Source organism: Homo sapiens, chromosome 4, assembly GCF_000001405.40.
Source record: "Homo sapiens chromosome 4, GRCh38.p14 Primary Assembly".
NCBI classification, from domain to species: Eukaryota; Metazoa; Chordata; class Mammalia; order Primates; family Hominidae; genus Homo; species Homo sapiens.
The window spans coordinates 163,464,636-163,482,548 of NC_000004.12; the positions used below are offsets into that span (position 1 = coordinate 163,464,636).

The 17,913-nt window shown below is 38.0% G+C and overlaps 1 protein-coding gene across 1 annotated transcript, besides 1 other annotated feature; it reads right to left on the reverse strand.

The window, feature by feature from the left end:
• Positions 1–6,459: 6,459 nt before the first annotated feature.
• On the reverse strand, positions 6,460–9,119 carry TKTL2 (transketolase like 2). Its single transcript, NM_032136.5, has one exon. The coding sequence runs from the start codon at positions 9,097–9,099 to the stop codon at positions 7,219–7,221; it is 1,881 nt and encodes a 626-aa protein (NP_115512.3). The 5' UTR covers positions 9,100–9,119; the 3' UTR covers positions 6,460–7,218.
• Positions 17,702–17,841: a silencer, noted in NCBI's record as "silent region_15780". NCBI's record gives its function as "represses an Ori minimal core promoter by ATAC-STARR-seq in GM12878 lymphoblastoid cells {active_cell/tissue: GM12878}" and the evidence as "EXISTENCE:reporter gene assay evidence [ECO:0000049][PMID:35858748]".

Consider the following 17,913-nt stretch of genomic DNA (forward strand, 5'->3'; position numbering starts at 1 on the left):
TGAAAGTAATTCTCCTTGATTTATATAACCAATAAAAATAAGTTAATGTGTTCCCCAAAATACTGGTACAATAATGTTCATAGTAGCACTACTTGTAATAGCCCCCAAATAAATACACCCACATGTTCATCAACAATTTAAATAAATACACTGTGGCATATTCATGATCTGAAATACTGTACAGCAGAGAATGAAATGAACATCAAGTATAGGTTACAATATGGAAAATTTCATAAACACCATATTGAGCAAATAAACCCAGACATAAAATAGCATACACTGCATTATTCCATTTACATAAAGTTCAAAGCCAGGCAAAGATAGTCTATAGAGTTAGAAGTTTAAATAGTGGTTATCTTTGAGGAGGACGAGGAGGTAATCTGTGGAAGGGGACAAGAAAGTGGCTTCCAGAGTACTGTAGTGTTATAATTCTTCAGGCAGGTATGAGTTAGATAAATGTATTCACTTGCTGAAAATTCATTGAGCTGTGCACAAATGATTTGTGTACTTTATTGTTTGAATGCTAGACATCAAAAGAGTTTATTAGATTTTTAATTCAAAAATACATGAAAAAGATTTAATGTACATGAAAACAACACCATTTCTGTGAGGGCAGGTTGGTATAAATAAAGTTAAAGCATTCCAACATCTTTGCGTTTGTCCAGAAAGAAGGTAAAAGTACCAATTAACCAAATCAGCAAACTTCTAATAAATAAATTTCATTTCTAATAAATAAAATTCACTTGTTAGCTGGTTGAATTAGATGTTTTAATATAATGAACATCTAACATATATTTGGCATTAATTCCTTTCCTAGAGAGTAGTTGCAGAGGTTAGGTATGTGTGCAAAGACTTGACCTATGCCAAGGCAGTAGAATAAATTTGCATTTCCTCCCTTTTTCTTCCTATAATTCCAGAAATTGGTCACACTGGTAAAGCTGGAGCCACACTATTGCTATTTTGTAACATTTTGTCTTTATAAAATTAGTATTTATACTGCATAAAAAATCTATTTAAATAGAAAACATAGGCCAGGCACGGTGGCTCACGCCTGTAATTCCAGCACTTTGGGAGGCCCAGGTGGGCGGATCAAGAGGTCAGGAGATGGAGACCATCCTGGCGAACATGGTGAAACCCCATCTCTACTAAAAATACAAAAAAGTTAGCCAAGTGTGGTGGCGGGCACCTGTAGTCCCAGCTACTCGGGAGGCTGAGGCAGGAGAATGGCGTGAACCCGGGAGGTAGAGCTTGCAGTGAGCAGAGATAGCGTCACCACACTCCAGCCTGGGCAACAGAGCGAGACTCTGTCTCAAAAAAAAAAAAAAAAAAAGAAAGAAAGAAAACGTAATTCAGGGGGAAAGTCAAATATGTGGAGGCAAAGAGGTATAATGCAATTGAAAAATAAGTTTTAGAAACAAATAGACAAGTAACATTTTCTTTCTGAGAGTAAGTTTTCTCATATGTGATGATGGGGATAATAATGAAATACATATTTCAAAATTATTGTTACAATTATATGAGATACATAACTTTAAATTCAGGCTCTACAACATGCTAGCTATGTGACCTTGGAGAAATTTTGAATACATAATTTATCTGCACTTTGGCTTCCTCATCTCTAAAATGACAATACAGTACCATTTACTATTCATCTAGTAAATTTCTTTAAAACATTTAAGTATAAGAAGTATGATAGGCCAGGTGCAGTGGCTCACGCCTGTAATCCCAGCACTTTGGGAGGCCAAGGCGGGCAGATCACTTGAGGTCAGGAGTTCAAGACCAGCCTGGCCAACGTGGCAAAACCCCATCTCTACTAAAAACACAAAAATTAGCAGGATGTGGTGGAGGGCACCTGTAATCTCAGCTACTCAAGAGACTAGGGGAGGAGAATCGCTTGAACCCGGGAGGCAGAGGTTGCAGTGAGCTGAGATTGCACCACTGCATTCCAACCTGGGCAACAGAGCGAGACTCCATCTCAAAAAGGAAAAAAAGCAAAAGTAGTATGATAAACACACATGTGAATGAATGTCTGTGTGTATGTTAGTTTTCATACACATGCTTAGGATACTTAGTTTACTTTTGAAATTAAAACTACTAATCTGTAATTCATAACATAGATTTTTGTTAATCAGTATATTAAAATAATTTTTAATTGGGGGAATACGTTGTGTCCATGATATGGATTTGACTGGAAATTGTATGCATATCACTCACCATTTGAAGCCATGAGATATAAGAATCTGGATATCTAAAATAAAACAGTCTTATTTTAGAGGATCCGTACTCCAAGTCTAGAGCTCTGTGTGGTCATGTGTCTTCAGGGAAGGAAAACATCCTTTCAGGCAGGGAGATTCCGATTAGGTCAGCATCCATTCTTAGTGGTAGGTGCCCATGCCATAGTGGCTGCTGCATAATTTTGAATTTTACAAAATCTACTCATGCCCCTCTTGGAGCAAACATTTATCCAGGGTGTTGGTCAAAGTGCCTCATATTAGAGAGTGGCAACTTCCCTGAGCTTACAACGCATTGCATGGCTGCTTTTCTGCCTTCTTGCAAATGAATGTTTGTATATCTGTCAGATTTGGTTCTAACAGTTTGCATTCATTCTAATGTACGACATAGTGATGAGGTTCTCTAAATTTCAGAAATACTTGCATATGCAAAATACAGATATAAGTACAATGATGCACCAGCTTTAACCACATTCAAAACTCAAGGAACATAGAGTCTTCCAGCCAAATGAGAGTGATTTCTCCTCTCTCCTTTGCCCCTACCAACCCTTTTCTGATCTACAACTACAGCTAGCAAGTTGTAGAGGCTTGGAGAAGGGAAGGGAATAGGAAACTGAAGGCAACAACACATCCTTTCCTGAGGTTCAGCAGCTGCTAGCCATAGCTCTTTATTCAGGTAAAGTAAAGCAAAAGTCTTAATATTAGTCAAGACAAGCATTGCGCAATATGTTAAGCTGGACACATTGTAATCACTGAATCCAGATTGGATTTTTGTGATGTAAAGTAGCTATAGTACTTTCTATTACCTAAGAGCAAATGGGAATAGTCACTGGATCTCTCCAACTTTCCATCCAGAACCACAGTTAGTTTACCCACGTTAAATTCCTTTTAAAGGGATAGTGGGAAACAAAAATAAAGTTTTGTTTTAATCTTATCATAAATCATTTTTTCATGAACTTATTACAAAAATATTTCAATATTACAAATATGAAATTTATAATAGCTAAAAATATTGTACAAAGAATTATGTTTCTTCTTAGGATAACCAGTTTGATTGCAGTTACTCAACTCTGGTATATGTAATCACAAAATAGTTTTATTTTTACATTAACCTCTATCATCTGTATTCTGTTGAAACCTCCTGTATCCCACCCATTATGTATAAATTACGTTTAATGTTGTCTGTAAGTTCATAACACTTTCAGTCATTTTCAGTAATTAAAACAGCTTTATTGTATTAAAATTTAACTATACACCCTTTAAATCTACAATCTCAGTTTTCCCTCTCTCCCCCGTTGTTATAACAGTGAGAGTTGAAGAGAGTTCTCTCACAACTTTTCTCCATCTCTCTTCCCAATAGTTTCTCCAAATAGATTACTGCCCACTCTCTGTTAAACAACCCTGCAAATCTATGTAAAAACTCAGCAAGGTTTAGAGCCAACTGATCCCAACTGAAGGGTTTAATAGCAAGTAGATACTCTAACAGTTGGTGGTCCTTTTCTGGGGGACCCTTTTCTATTGTTCCCAATTGCAGGCATCACACAGAATTTCTGAGGCATGTACCTCTCTACTCTTAGTGTGGTGATCTCTGACAAGCCTGCAACCTCCAATCTTATTAACACTCTGTAGTCAAATATAGAGGTGGCCTGGAGGCCTGGGCCTCAAGGGGTGAGCCCTTATCCCCTCCACATGTCTATACTGTCACCCTCATCTCTCCCCAATGCTCTCTCCCAGGGTTTGCAAACGTTTACTCTAAAAAGTCAGGTTGTAGCATATTCTCACTCATAGGTGGGAATTGAACAATGAGAACACATGGACACAGGAAGGGGAACATCACACTCTGGGGACTGTTGTGGGGTGGGGGAAGGGGGGAGGGGGGAGGGATAGCATTGGGAGATATACCTAATGCTAGATGACGAGTTAGTGGGTGCAGCGCACCAGCATGGCACATGTATACATATGTAACTAACCTGCACATTGTGCACATGTACCCTAAAACTCAAAGTATAATAATAATAATAATAAAAAGTCAGGTTGTAAATATTTTAGGCTATGCAGACTATAAGGTGACTATTATTACTACTCAACTCTGCCAATGTAGCTCCAAAGCAGCCACAGATGATACCCAGTTGAATGAGCATGACTATGTTCCAATAAAACTTTATTCAAGGACACTGAAATTTGAATTTCATATGTCATGAAATAGTACTCCTCTTCTAATTGTTTCAACCATTTAAAATGTAAAAACCATTCTTATCTTACAGTTATATAAAAACAGGTGGTGGCAGATTTTGCCTACTGTCAGTGTTTGCCAACCTGTTCTGCTCTAACCCAGGAGTTCTATCTATGGTCAGGAAACCAAGCCCTGTCTAAATCAACATCCAACCTTGCAATGAAATACCTGTCTCCCTTTCTTGGTGTTAACTCCAAACCTTGTGAGCAATTCTCTTATAGAAACTCTCCCCTACCAATGTCAGTAAAGGGAATTGGTTCAGTGCCTCCTTCCCTATCTTATAGGAGGATGGAGAAGATAGTTTCTCTCTAAGAACAGTACACTCTTCCATTCTACCACAAAAATGTGCCAGGACCTTTCTTCCATATCATGATAGTAAGGGTCACCAAAACAGTTCAATACTTCTCAACTTCCCAAACCAACCCCTCTCTGATTGGACTCTGGAGAATTTAGTGATTCCTGTAAAGTTCAGGAAACTGAGATAACTAAAACTCAGTGAGTAGTTCACATTACTCTTACATAATTTTAAAATCAGAAATATTGATTCTTACTTTTTAAAAAATTATATTTTTTTCCCAAATAGGGCTCTCCATTGAAGTTCCATATAGCTTAAGAGCCATTGATATATTTAAATAAGGTAACATAAAATGAAAGTTCAGTGTACTGATTCCTTCTTTTGCTATCTCTGAGGGTCACAGAAATCAGGAAATGACCAGGGAGCCATTCACCATGTAAATGACCAGTGTCACTCTCAGATGACTGCAGCCTTTAGAACTGCAAACATAAGCAAGGCAGCTGCTGGTGTCAACAGCTGTCCCTGGAATATCACCAGGTTATTGATAATCTAATAGACCTTCACAGCAAAAACAATGAATAGAAGGCCAGAGTTAAACCAGTGATCATGTTGTTCATCAAAAGTACATCTTCATAAGCTTTAGCAGTCAAGGGTTAGCATATGTCAGGTTGATTCTCTCCTAAGATTCCCATGGACACTTTAAAGATCTCAGCACAGATTCAAAGCTAGAGAACATTCAATATAGCAAAACTGGATATGATTCGTACTTGAAGAATTGTGGACATAAGACTCACCTGCTATTTCTTCTCTCTGGAGCTCATAGCCTCTGGTTGATAACTTGTGGAACAGAGTCTTTACAAGAGAGATTCCTAAGGGCTTCCCCTCCAGCTACAAAAAATATAATTTCTGGTGGTGTCTGAGATTCCATTAGACATAAAGAATCTGATCTACTGTCATTATTAAAGGTGTGCTTATGCATGTTTGGTTGGAAACAGACCATTTTACATGCCCACTTTCACAGCATGTACAGAAAACATGCTGTGAATACAATTAAATGATTTTTGTGTGTGTGAAACGGGGGGTAAACATATTTTACTTATTTGCATTTTCTAAACTTCTGCAATGATTTTATGTCAACTTTTTATTTCTACAAAGTAATTTTTAAATCTTATGAAAAAACAGAGCAATTTTCGTAATCATTTTACAAAAGAGGAAATTAGCTTAGAGAAAACGGGTAGTAGCAGATGAGGAGAGCCTGGTTTCTCTAATTCCCAGGTTAGTATTAATATTTTTTGGCTCTATTATACCTCCTAAGACAATGATTGCTGAGACAAATTGGTTATGCCTCCAAAGAACTTAATGAGGGTAATAAAAGTAAGGAAATAATTACCTGACATAGACACAGAGTAATTTAATTTAGTTTGGAACCTTGGGTCCATCTATGATTTGCCTGACTGGTACTTTCTTGTACTCCAAGCATATATTTACACACTGACAGCCAAAAGTCAGGAGTCTGCTTAAGGGATGGCTTTTTAGTCCATACAATCTTCTCTAGTAACTTATCTCCAGCTTCAACCTTTTTCCAGGTTTGCTTCTGGGGGTCATGACTCTCTCTGTTTCTTATTTAGACACAAGTTCTCCTTATTTAGGATTTCATCAGGAAGAAATCAAATCCCACATACACAGCACAGACTGAAGTATCTGATTTTTAAATGCTTTATTACATTAACTTTAGTATCATTAGCAGATGAATATAATCAGATTAACAAACTGGTTTGGCCACAAGGAAAAGAAAAAACATTTCTGAAGCTTCACAAAACTATGTGTGTAGTGTGCAAACTAGAACCAGTTATACTTTCATCACTTCACAGAACACAAGTAGTGTGGTGCATCAAGAGATGTTCCACTGCTGCACCATCACCTCCAAACTGTAGAGGAGAGATGAAGGCAAACTTTGGAGGAATTTCCAAGGCAACTGCAGTCAAACATTATCTGTAAAACTGCAGGTATAAATGGCATTATACAAAAGCTCAAACATCCTTCAAAACTTGGACTATTGAAGTCTACAATTAAATTTCAATTTTTTTAACTTACAAGGAAATCATACTCATTTAAGATACAGTTACCTCTACTTTAATCCCCAGCTCAGTCAGATATTTGTAGTCTTATCAGAAATATTTGTATTAGGTAGTTGTTTTATTTCCTATTCTATTGCTTACAATTTTAAAATCCACATTAATAACTCAGAGTAACATTTATACATAGATTAACAGAAAGGTAAACTTTAATTTCCAAATTAGGAATGAAGAAAGATGTTAAATGGCTTTGCTTTAAAAGAAACAGTACAACTGTATAGGTATAAATAATGGTTTTGTGACAATAAACATGAATTTAATACAAAGATACCAGTGCTTTTGGGCCAAAGCCAATAGACTTGACTTTTTAGAAATAAGCCTAGTTTACTTCATTAAAGTAAGTGTTACGGCTGCTATAATGTGTCTGGTACTGATTCCAAACATATCCAGCAATTCACTAGTTTTCCCACGTTGAGGCACTCCTGACACTGCCAGTTGATGAACAAGGATATCAGGCTCCCTGGAGACAGCTGCACAAACAGCTTCTCCAATGCCACCTTCCCTGTAGTGATCCTCCACTGTGATAACTCGGCCGCCTGTGGCTTTTGCACTGGAGATGATGGTGGCGGCATCCAGGGGTTTAATGGTAAATGGGTCGATGACACGGACAGAAATACCTTGTTGAGAAAGATGGTCAGCAGCTTCTAAGGCTTCATGGAGAGTAACTCCAGCTCCAATTACTGTGACTTTATCATTGACACCGTGGCGGACCACCTTGGCCTGGCCAATCTCAAAATTTTCTTGTGGGGTATAAATAACTGCAGTTTCTGGTTGGCTGGTTCGAATGAAGCACATTCCCTTGGTATTGGCGGCTAGATAAATAGCATGCTCTGTCGAGATGGCATCACTTGGATAGAAAACAGTACAATTGGGAATGCTTCGGAACATGGCTAGATCCTCCAGGGCCATCTGGGAGACTCCATCTTCTCCAGTGGATACCCCACAGTGGGAACCAATAAGGTTGATATTGGCTTGAGAAATGGCTCCCATTCGGAGCTGATCGAATGCTCTAGTAAAAAAGGCAGCAAAAGCACCAGCAAAAGCAATGGTTCGACCACGTGTAGCACAGCCTAGTGCCACACTTACCATGTTTTGTTCAGCAATAATACACTCTATGAAACGCTCAGGGTGTTCTTTCCTGAATATCTCAGAAAAGGTGGAGTTCATCGTGTCACCACTCAGAACAATAACTCTTTCATTTGCACGGCCCAGTTTAGCCAGAGCCAAACCATATGTTTTCTGAGTAGCTATCTTGTCACCAACTTTGTAAGCAGGTGGGGAGGTCATTTTTATATCTGTGATGCTTATTTGAGGTGAGTCTTCCACAGGCGATTTTGGTATGAGATTCTCATTGGTCTGTATCTGACTCTCAATTAATTTGACAATTGCATCTGCTCTTTCTTTTGGCACTGGCTTTCCATGCCAATTTTCTGCATCCTCAATATTTGGAATACCCCGACCTTTGAAGGTCTTGGCAACTATAGCAGTAGGCTTGTTCTTCACTTGACTTGCTTGCCAAAATGCTTGGCACAAGGCCTCCACATCATGGCCATCCACTAAGTAAGTATTCCATCCAAAGGCTTCACAGCAATTCTGGTAGATGTCTGCGCCATGCTCAAGGGGTGCAGGGCCACTTTGTCCCAAGCGGTTCACGTCGAAGACCGCCACGAGATTGTCCAAGTTGTAGTGGGAGGCAAAAGCAAAAGCCTCCCACACAGAGCCTTCTGAGGATTCGCCATCTCCCATAAGGCAGAACACCCGGTAGCTGGCCTTGTCAAGGTACTTGCCAGTATAAGCCATTCCACATGCAGTACCTAATCCCTGACCTAGGGACCCTGTTGCCACGTCAACAAACGGCAATCGGGGGGTAGGGTGTCTCTCCAAGTCGCTGTGAAGTTTCCTCAGGTTCAGCAAGTCAGATTCACTGATGTCACCCACCTCCACCCAAGCAGCATAGAGGATAGGAGCAGCATGTCCCCTGGAGAGGATGAACCGGTCGTTGTCCGGGTGTTCTGGGTCTGTCTGTTTATACTTCATCGTGTGGAAGAAGAGGACAGACACGACCTCCGCTGCACTGCAGCACGACGTGAGCTGGCCAGAACCAGAGGCACACGTGGCCCTGATGGAATGGATCCGCAGGCGGTTGGCTGTGTCCCGCAGCACCTGCACGGTCTTCACGTCGGGCTTGGCGTCGTTGGCCATCATCTCTCTTTTGTCGGTTTGGCAAAGCAAACGGCGCCGCAGCACCCCCACAACCCACCGCGGCAGTGCTCTCACGTGACCGCCCCGCCCTCGCCTCCCCTCTGCCTGAAGGCCTGAGCTCAGCCACCAGCCGGGGCGCCCACAACGGAGCTTCCCGCGAGACTGAGGAAACGGAAACGTTGGAGTAGCCTGCACCCTCTGATGTGCACCGTTCCCTCTCCCTGTCCACGCCCAGCTGAATGGATTTTTAGTATTTACTTTGTCACGTGCATGTTCAACATTAGGAAGCATAATTAAATTTTTTACCTTTCCCTGTGTTATAAATTCAAGACTAGACATTTTTCTGTGTATTATAGGAAGCGATTTGTCAGGCTGTGCTTTTTTAATGCATTAACACTATATCCGAGTCATCACTCTTTCATATCAGAACATTAATAGAAAGGATACAAAGTCACTTTCAATCTGACCAGTATGGCAATGCTATCTCAACAGAGACTTTCTCAGAGCAACCAAATATCTGAATCTCAGACTTATAGAAAGAAATGCAATGACTAATTTGACCAAAATTTATAGGAAGAACAAATCTGAAACCACCCAATTGCAGAATAGAATTGCAACTCCAGTGTGCCGTAAAGTACTATTTCTGTGTTGAAATAATTAGAAGGCCAGTAGGCTGAGGTAGCTTCAGCTCCATGAGTTCCTACCTAAGGAAAGGAAACCCAAATCAGTGTAAATGATAAAAAGGAAATTTAAGCTTAATCAATCAGAAACTGCCAGCTAACTTCTAACTGGGGACTTTCCACTGGGATGACCCAAATAAGTCTAGTACTCCACTTTAACCAATCAAATATCTTTCCTTTGCTTCCAAATTCACCCTATAAAAGCCTTCTCCTTGGCTCCTTTATCAGGAGCTACCAGATTCATGAATCACTGAATGGTCAAATAAATGCTTTAATATTTTAATGTGCCTCAGTTTATCTTTTAATGACTATTACTACAAATCATTTTTAAGACAAAGTTACTTACTTTAAAAAACTAAATTTGTGGGCCGGGTGCTGTGGCTCACACCTGTAATCCCAGCACTTTGGGAGGCCGAGGCAGGCGGATCACAAGGTCAGGAGTTCGAGACCATCCTGGCTAACACGGTGAAACCCCGTGTCTACTAAAAATACAAAAAAATTAGCTGGGCGTGGTGATGGGCACCTGTAGTCCCAGCTACTCGGGAGGCTGAGGCAGGAGAATGGCGTGAACCTGGGAGGTGGAGCTTGCAGTGAGCCCAGATTGTGCCACTGCACTCCAGCCTGGGAGACAGAGCGAGACTCCGTCTAAAACAAAAAAAACTAAATTTGTGCCATTGAACTCTTCTAGCAGGCCAAGGTTATGGTTTGTCATCAATAAAACAACAATTAAAAAAAACACAATGATAATATATCATACCTTCCCATATTGCGATGTTAAACCTCTTGGTTTCTTGAGCAATAATTCTTACCTTAACTTCACGTTAAAATTAGGGCACATAAGAAACACAATGCCTGGTTCCATCCCAGAAAAATAGAATTTGAATTTCTGGACCTGGAGTCTGGGAAGCTATGTTTCTAAAATACATCCATTGATTATAATGGGTAGTCAAGGTTAATAACATAATCTGGAGATAGTCTGAGACCAGTGGTTCTCAACATTAGTTGTAGTTTAGAATTATCTGGGAAGTTTTAAAAACATCTCATGTCCATGCTGCACTCCAGACCAATTATATCAGAATTTCTAGGCAATAGATCTAGGCGTCAGTAATTTTAAAATCTTCCCCAGGCAATTTCAATGTTCAGTCAGGGTTGTAAACAACTAACTCAGGGGGTGTTGTTACTCTTTATACTTATTATCTCTTGCATTATATCTCAGAAAAATATTTCAAATGTTATTTGCTATTTCAACTAGTTCTATCATTTTAACTTTTAAGGACACATATTAGAATAAATAGTAATAATATGACACTACTGATTTTAAGACTTGTTGCAGGAATGTTGGCATTGGAGAAGTTCTTAAGAGGTCATCATGTATCCATAACTCTCCATGTCCTTTGCAAATTAAAGCTTGTTTATCTTTTTAGACAAATAAAGGAGGAGGAAATACAAGCAGACTAGGCTAGAACTGGTAGTACAGAAGATGGGAATTAGAGAAAAAATAATAATCACAGTAAAATAATAGCAAACTACTACAGGCTGACAGGAAAGTAGTTAATATAAACACAGGTAGCTCACCATTATTTTGGCCAAAAAGAACTCTAATAAATCCACACAATTAGTAAACATGATAGTACAAAAATGATTTATGAGGCAATGTTCCCATGAATAAAAACATGGGACTTCTTAACATTTCTTTCCAAGTTCCCACATTCTTTCACTCATTTAAAACATTGCACAGCTATTTCCTAAAGTATTAAATAAAAAAATTTTAACATTAGCAAAGGTCAATTTTATTAAGAGAAGAATGTAGTCTTGGAGATTTAATACCCTAGATAGTGAGTGTGAATTTCCCTCTATCATTCTGTGAGACCGTGTGAATTTTTTATACTATATAGAAAATAATATTTTATAAATTATGTGTAAAATACTTATAAACCATTCTGAGATTTTGTAAAAGGAACTCTGGAAAGATATATATATATATATATATATAAATATATAAAAGTATATATATAGTAAAATATCTGGAAAGATATACTATATATAAAAGTATATATATTATATATAAAAACTCATATCAATATATGTAATATATATTAAGTTTATATAAAATTAATTTTATATTAATATGTTATATAAATAACATATATAAGCTGTTAATTATTTTCTTTAAGCATTTTAGTCTTTTAAATTTGAAATATATTTTAAAATATACAATTGAAAATATATAAATACAGGTAGAGCATCCCAAATTTGAAAATCTGATGTTTCCAATGCTCCAAAATCTGAAACATTTTGAGCACTGACATGTTACTCAGGGGAACTGCTCAAAGGACATTTTGGATTTGGGATTTTTCTGATTTGGAATGTTCCGTTGTTAAGTATAATGCAGATATTCCAAATTTTTTTTTAATTGAAATCCAAAACACTTCTGGTCTCAAGCAAATAATTTCAACTAAAGAATACTCAACTTGTTTAAAGTATGCACAATTTCATAATGCAAAATTACCCAATATGGCTGGGAACACAACTTCGTCAAATAAATCAAACAAAGACGTGATACCACCTTCTCCCCTATTTAGAAGACAAAATAGGGGAGCCAAACCCTATTTGGCTGACAAAATGTCAGCCAAAAACTTTTAAACCAGCACGCCAAAAATGTAGTTGTCTTGGAGAAAAGTTCATTATTCATTTTAGAGATCATTTTGGAAGCCAGTCAAAAATGTTCTGCAAATAGGAAAACATTATTCATTTATTATTAATCTTGGTTTATCCAGACAAAGCAGAGATTGGCAAATTCAAGTGCCTACTGGGATAAGGAGTTACCACGAGTGCTTGGATGTCAGCTATAAGAGGGTTAGAGGGGCCTGTGTTAAACTGGAGAATACAAGACCACTTAAAGGCATTCAAAATTGAAAAACTTATAAACATTTTGTTGGAAAAATAAAATATACCTTCAGGCTGCCACTTTTGACCCCAATTTAAAGTCTATTTAAAAGCAGCAATAATTTTTGTTTTAACTTTGCTTAAATTTTTCACTTAATTTTTTCTCATAGTATCTAAAAGTATTCATTATAGCGTGTACTTCACATGAAAACAAAATCTAACAGGATTACCAATACAAGTAGCTATGAGGGAAAAACTTAAATAGTAGCAATTGATAAGTGTAATTTCTACTGAGCTGCAGCAGAGAAAACAGAACACACAATTACCGATTACTGAGTAGGTCTACACTGATTTGTGAAAATAGATATTTTGCCATGTGAGGGTGAGTGATATTTAGGAGTTGGGAACGCTGAAATTTTACTTAAATCTTATTTAAACTGTTAAGTTTTGTTAAAATGGAATTATATAAAATACATAAATGCTGAATTCATCTTTTGCTTCCACTGTTTAAATTTGGTTGGCTTTGGAAGCTAAAGTATGGAGCAAATGAGAATAAGATTCTTGTGTAAGGCAATAAGTCTCCTGGAAAGAAAAATGTACTTTATCTTCCTGGATTATTGCTTTGAAAATTTTAACAGATGCTATTATGATGCATCTGTAGGATGCTATCCCACTTTTTCCACAGTTACAAGTCCTTATTTTGCGGTGGAGAGAGAAGGGGCAGAAGAGAGAGGTGGCAACAAATTTAAGAAACTTGGCCCAGCTCCTAGTCCCAGGAGAAAATCATAATTAATGTAGGACCAGCATCACAATGCCATTCCCTTTGGCTAGTAATGGCAGTCAGCACTTATTGACCCAGTTCTGGTCAATAAGATGTAAGTAAAAGTCTGCTTTGGGTGTAATAATTCTCATCGTTTCTTTCTTTTAGAGATGGGGTATTGCTATGTTTCTCAGGCTGGTTTTGAACTCCTGGCCTCAAGTGATCCTCCTGCCTGGTCTCCCAGCTGGTAATAATTTCTATTAAAGATTTTCTTCCTGGTAAACAGGAGAGAGTACAAGAAGAACTGTGATCTCTTCTTTTTTTTTTTTTTTTGGGATGGAGTTTTGCTCTTGTTGCTCTGTCATTTAGTAGAGACAGTGTTTCACCATGTTGACTAGGCTGGTCTTGAACTCCTGACCTCAGGTGATCCGCCCACCTCCGCCTCCCAAAGCGCTGGGATTACAGGCATGAGACACCACGCCCAGCCATTCTTTTCAACCCCTCTACCACCACCACCAGAGGATGTGTTGGAGCTATAGCAGCCAAAAGCCTAAGGATAAGGCCAGGCGCTGTAGATCAATTATTAGCCACTTTTCCTGTAAACCTAAAAGAAATTAAAATAAATAGTGCAGGCCGGGCACAGTGGCTAACGCCCAGCGCTTTGGGAGGCTGAGGTGGGCGGATTGCCTGAGGGCAGGAATTTGAGACCAGCCTGGCCAACATGGTGAAAGCCTGTCTCTACTAAAAATACAAAACTTAGCTGGGCAACGTGCTGCACATCAGTAATCCCAGCCACTTGGGAGGCTGAGGCAAGAGAATTGCTTAAACTTGGGAGGTGGAGGTTGCAGAGAGCTGAGGTGGCGCCACTGCACTCCAGCCTGGGCGATGGAGTGAGACTCCATGATTAAAAAAAAAAAAAACCTACAGATAAAAGTTAACGTGCTTAGTACGGTAGACTGGAAAAATAGAAAGTATGAGTTCTTCATAACTTCGTGGGTCCACAAGCCTTGAGACCAGCTTCTTCTAGACTCCTTGTTAAGAAAAAAATTAAATATTCCCACTTTATGAATGAGTTTCTGTTATCTTCAACTGAAAACATTTCTGGGAGATACAAAAATAGATCCCCTAAACAAGCTCCTGTAAGTCTAGTAATCAGGGAAAAAAACAAGAAAAACAATCAAGACGGCTCACAGTAGAAGAGAAGGGGCTCTAGAAAATGTAGTTTACTCAGTATTTTTATTCTCAGTGCCTGGTCCCACCCACACACCTACAACTTTGGTCTTTTTTGTATAATTACTATTGCTATGTTGCTGTTGTTGTTATTACATTGACTATCTCTTCAAAAACTAGGATTTTTAAACTTGGTACATGGGCTTTATGTATAGAAAACACTCAGATACCTTATCATATTCATTTGCTGTCTGGCCTAGATGGTTGGGTATGATGGAAATATGAAAATGATATAGCTGGATTTATTCTCATATAGACTAGCTACATTTAGTGGAGAAAATGCTTTTCCTTCCATCCAGATAATAACCTTGAAGTAGATTACAACAAAATCTCTTACTTTTGAAAACTAAAATATAATAACAAATGATAGCAATAGTAATTTTTTAAAATCCAAGGTATTAGACTTATATTACTGATTGTAAATCAGTATGATCAGCTTTAAATATATGAGAGGAATTTAATTCATTCTATAAACCATTTTTATTAGATACTACTATTGTATGCATTAAATAGTGGATTAGTACTTGCGCCATGTCCCACCTAACTCCTTCCCATCCTCAGGTCAAATTCAGCCCTTTGTTGAGATTTTATTTTGGCTAGAATATTTTAGCAAATGTATTGAGTTACAAACAACAAACAATAACAGTAATAACATTAATCCATTTAACCAACAAATTAATGAATTTTGGCAAATGTTTATTTCTATTTAGCTATCACAACAATCAAAATATAACTTCAATATTTCTATCGTCCTCAAACATTCCTGTATGCTTTGGCATTCAGTTATTCTTCACCCTAGGCTCCACTGATTTGCTTTCTGTCTCTGAGGTTCTGTTCCTTTTTGTTTTTTATTCTTTCCCCTTCTGAACTTCAGTTTGGATAGTTTCTATTGCAGTGTCTTAAAGTTCACTGAATTTTTCTTCTGCAGTGTCTAATCTGCTCTGAATCCCATCCTTTGAATTTTTTATTTCAAATATTATACTTTTTATCATTAGAAGTTCCATTTGGTTCTTCTTTATATCTTACTGTCCTCATAATATTAATCTCCTTTTAATTCTTCTAGAATATATATATATAAATATATATATATATATATATATATAAAATTTCTTTTTTTGAGACAGAGTTTCACTCTTATCACCCAGGCTGGAGTGCAATGGAGCAATCTTTGCTCACTGCAACCTTTGCCTCCCAGGTTCAAGCGATTCTCCTGCCTCAGCCTGCCCAGTTACTGGGACTACAGGTGTGTGTCACTACACCTGACTAATTTTTTGTATTTTTAGTAGAGACGGGGTTTTGCCATGTTGGCCAGACTGGTCTTGAACTCCTGATCTCAGGTGATCTGCCTGCCTCAGCCTCCCAAAGTTGTTGGTATTACAGGCGTGAGCCACTATGCCTGGCCCTTCTAGCATATTTTAAGAAGATTTTTTTAAAAGTCCTTGTCTACTAAGCCTATTATTCGGTCTCTCTGTTTCCATTAACTAATTTTTCTTCTGATAATGTGTTACACTGTCCAGTTTTATGGAATATCTAGTTTTTAAATTAAATGCTTGACATTATTTTGGGAGGTTGGATTTTATTTTATTGTATATTTTTAAAGAGTGTTGGACTTTGTTCTGAGAAGCCACTCATTCCTTTCGAGTATTTTAAGTCTGTTAAGGCAAATGTAGGGTATGCTTTACTCTAGTGTTAGTTTAGCTCCCCTACAAAAGCATAATCTCTCCAGGGTTTCCACCGAATGCGCCGGTGTGTTCAATCAGGCCCCTCAACTCTGGCTGGCTAGGACTCAAGTGTGGCTTAGCTTCTGTGAGTTCTGGGAACTGTTTGGTTATCACCTTTCCCAAGTTGTCATTTTCCTGGCCATGTAAGATGTATGCTTTATGCAAAGGTACTCTAAAGATTTCTGGAGCTCTTTGGGCAGTTTCTCCTTATAATCATTCTGCCTTCAAAATGCTAGCCAACATAGGATTCCTGAGCTCCAATCTCTGTTGCCTTATTTGCCATGCTGTGTGTCAGATGCCCTTCCCTGTAGCACTGTCTGGAAAGGGCCTCTAGGAAGAAAGCCAGAAAGATAATGTTTTCTCTCTTTCATAGACCACGATCCTGTGCTGCCTGTTTTCCAATATATGAAAACTATTACCTTATAAACTTTGTCTAGCTTTCTAGTTGTTTATGGCTGGAGGGTAAATCTCATTCCAGTTACTTCCTCATAGCCTCAGAACAGCATTTAAAATGTTTTGAATGTTAATACTTTATACTGGGCATATATTCTCCAGAAAACGGTATCCCAACTCACACTACTCCTTATGTCTAGCACCCCTCTGATTCCCACATTTATATTACTTCTTGAACCCAGAAGACTTTGGAATTTCCAATTACACCAATTGTTACTAACCCTTATGGTGTCATTTTAAAAAGATGTCCCTCAAAGCATGGTCTAATGAAATTTTAATTTTTAAGAACTATCAAAAAAATTTCATTGTTATGGTTAAATTTTCCAGAGAGATTTAGTACTGCTCTGATAAACCCAAAAACCCTTGGCATTTGTATGATTTTAAATTAAATTCTCTAAAACATATCAAATAACTGCCTTTCTTCTTATAAAGGGGATGTGGAGCATTAACCTTTTCTTTGATGACTAATGGTCATCATTATGACCACTGGCTATTAAGCTTTATTGAAATTCAATCAAATAAATCAAAATTACTATTGAGAATGGTGCTTAAGGAAGGTTATTCCAGCATCTTTGTTCAGAATAAATGTTCAATTTTTATTACTCTACTGTAGTATATTTTTCAGGGTATGTAGCTGTAGTAACAAAATAACCAAAAAAAAAAAAAAAAAAAAAAAAAAAGGAAGTGGCTCAAGCAAGATTTAAGTTTATTTTTCCTTCACATAAATGCTCAGAGTATGCTTGGAAGTCAGGCAGCTCTGCTCAAGTGGGTTTTACAGGGTCCCAGATTCTTTTCATGGCTGCCTAGTCATTGACTCAGGTGTTGGCCTCATCTGCAAAATTGAAGCCAGAAACCACTTGGGCCACCAAAGAATAGAACAAAACGAGAATACAGGGGGACAATCTATTTCTTTTTCAGGAAGCAACCCAGAAATTGTAAATTTCACTTCTCATTCTCTGTTGGTGAGAACTTACTTGCCTAGCCACAGCCAACATTAAGGGAGTTTGTGAAATGAAGCAATTTGCCCACTGATCTGCTGAAACTTAGGAGATTATAATACAAAGACAAAAGGAAGAACCAATACTGG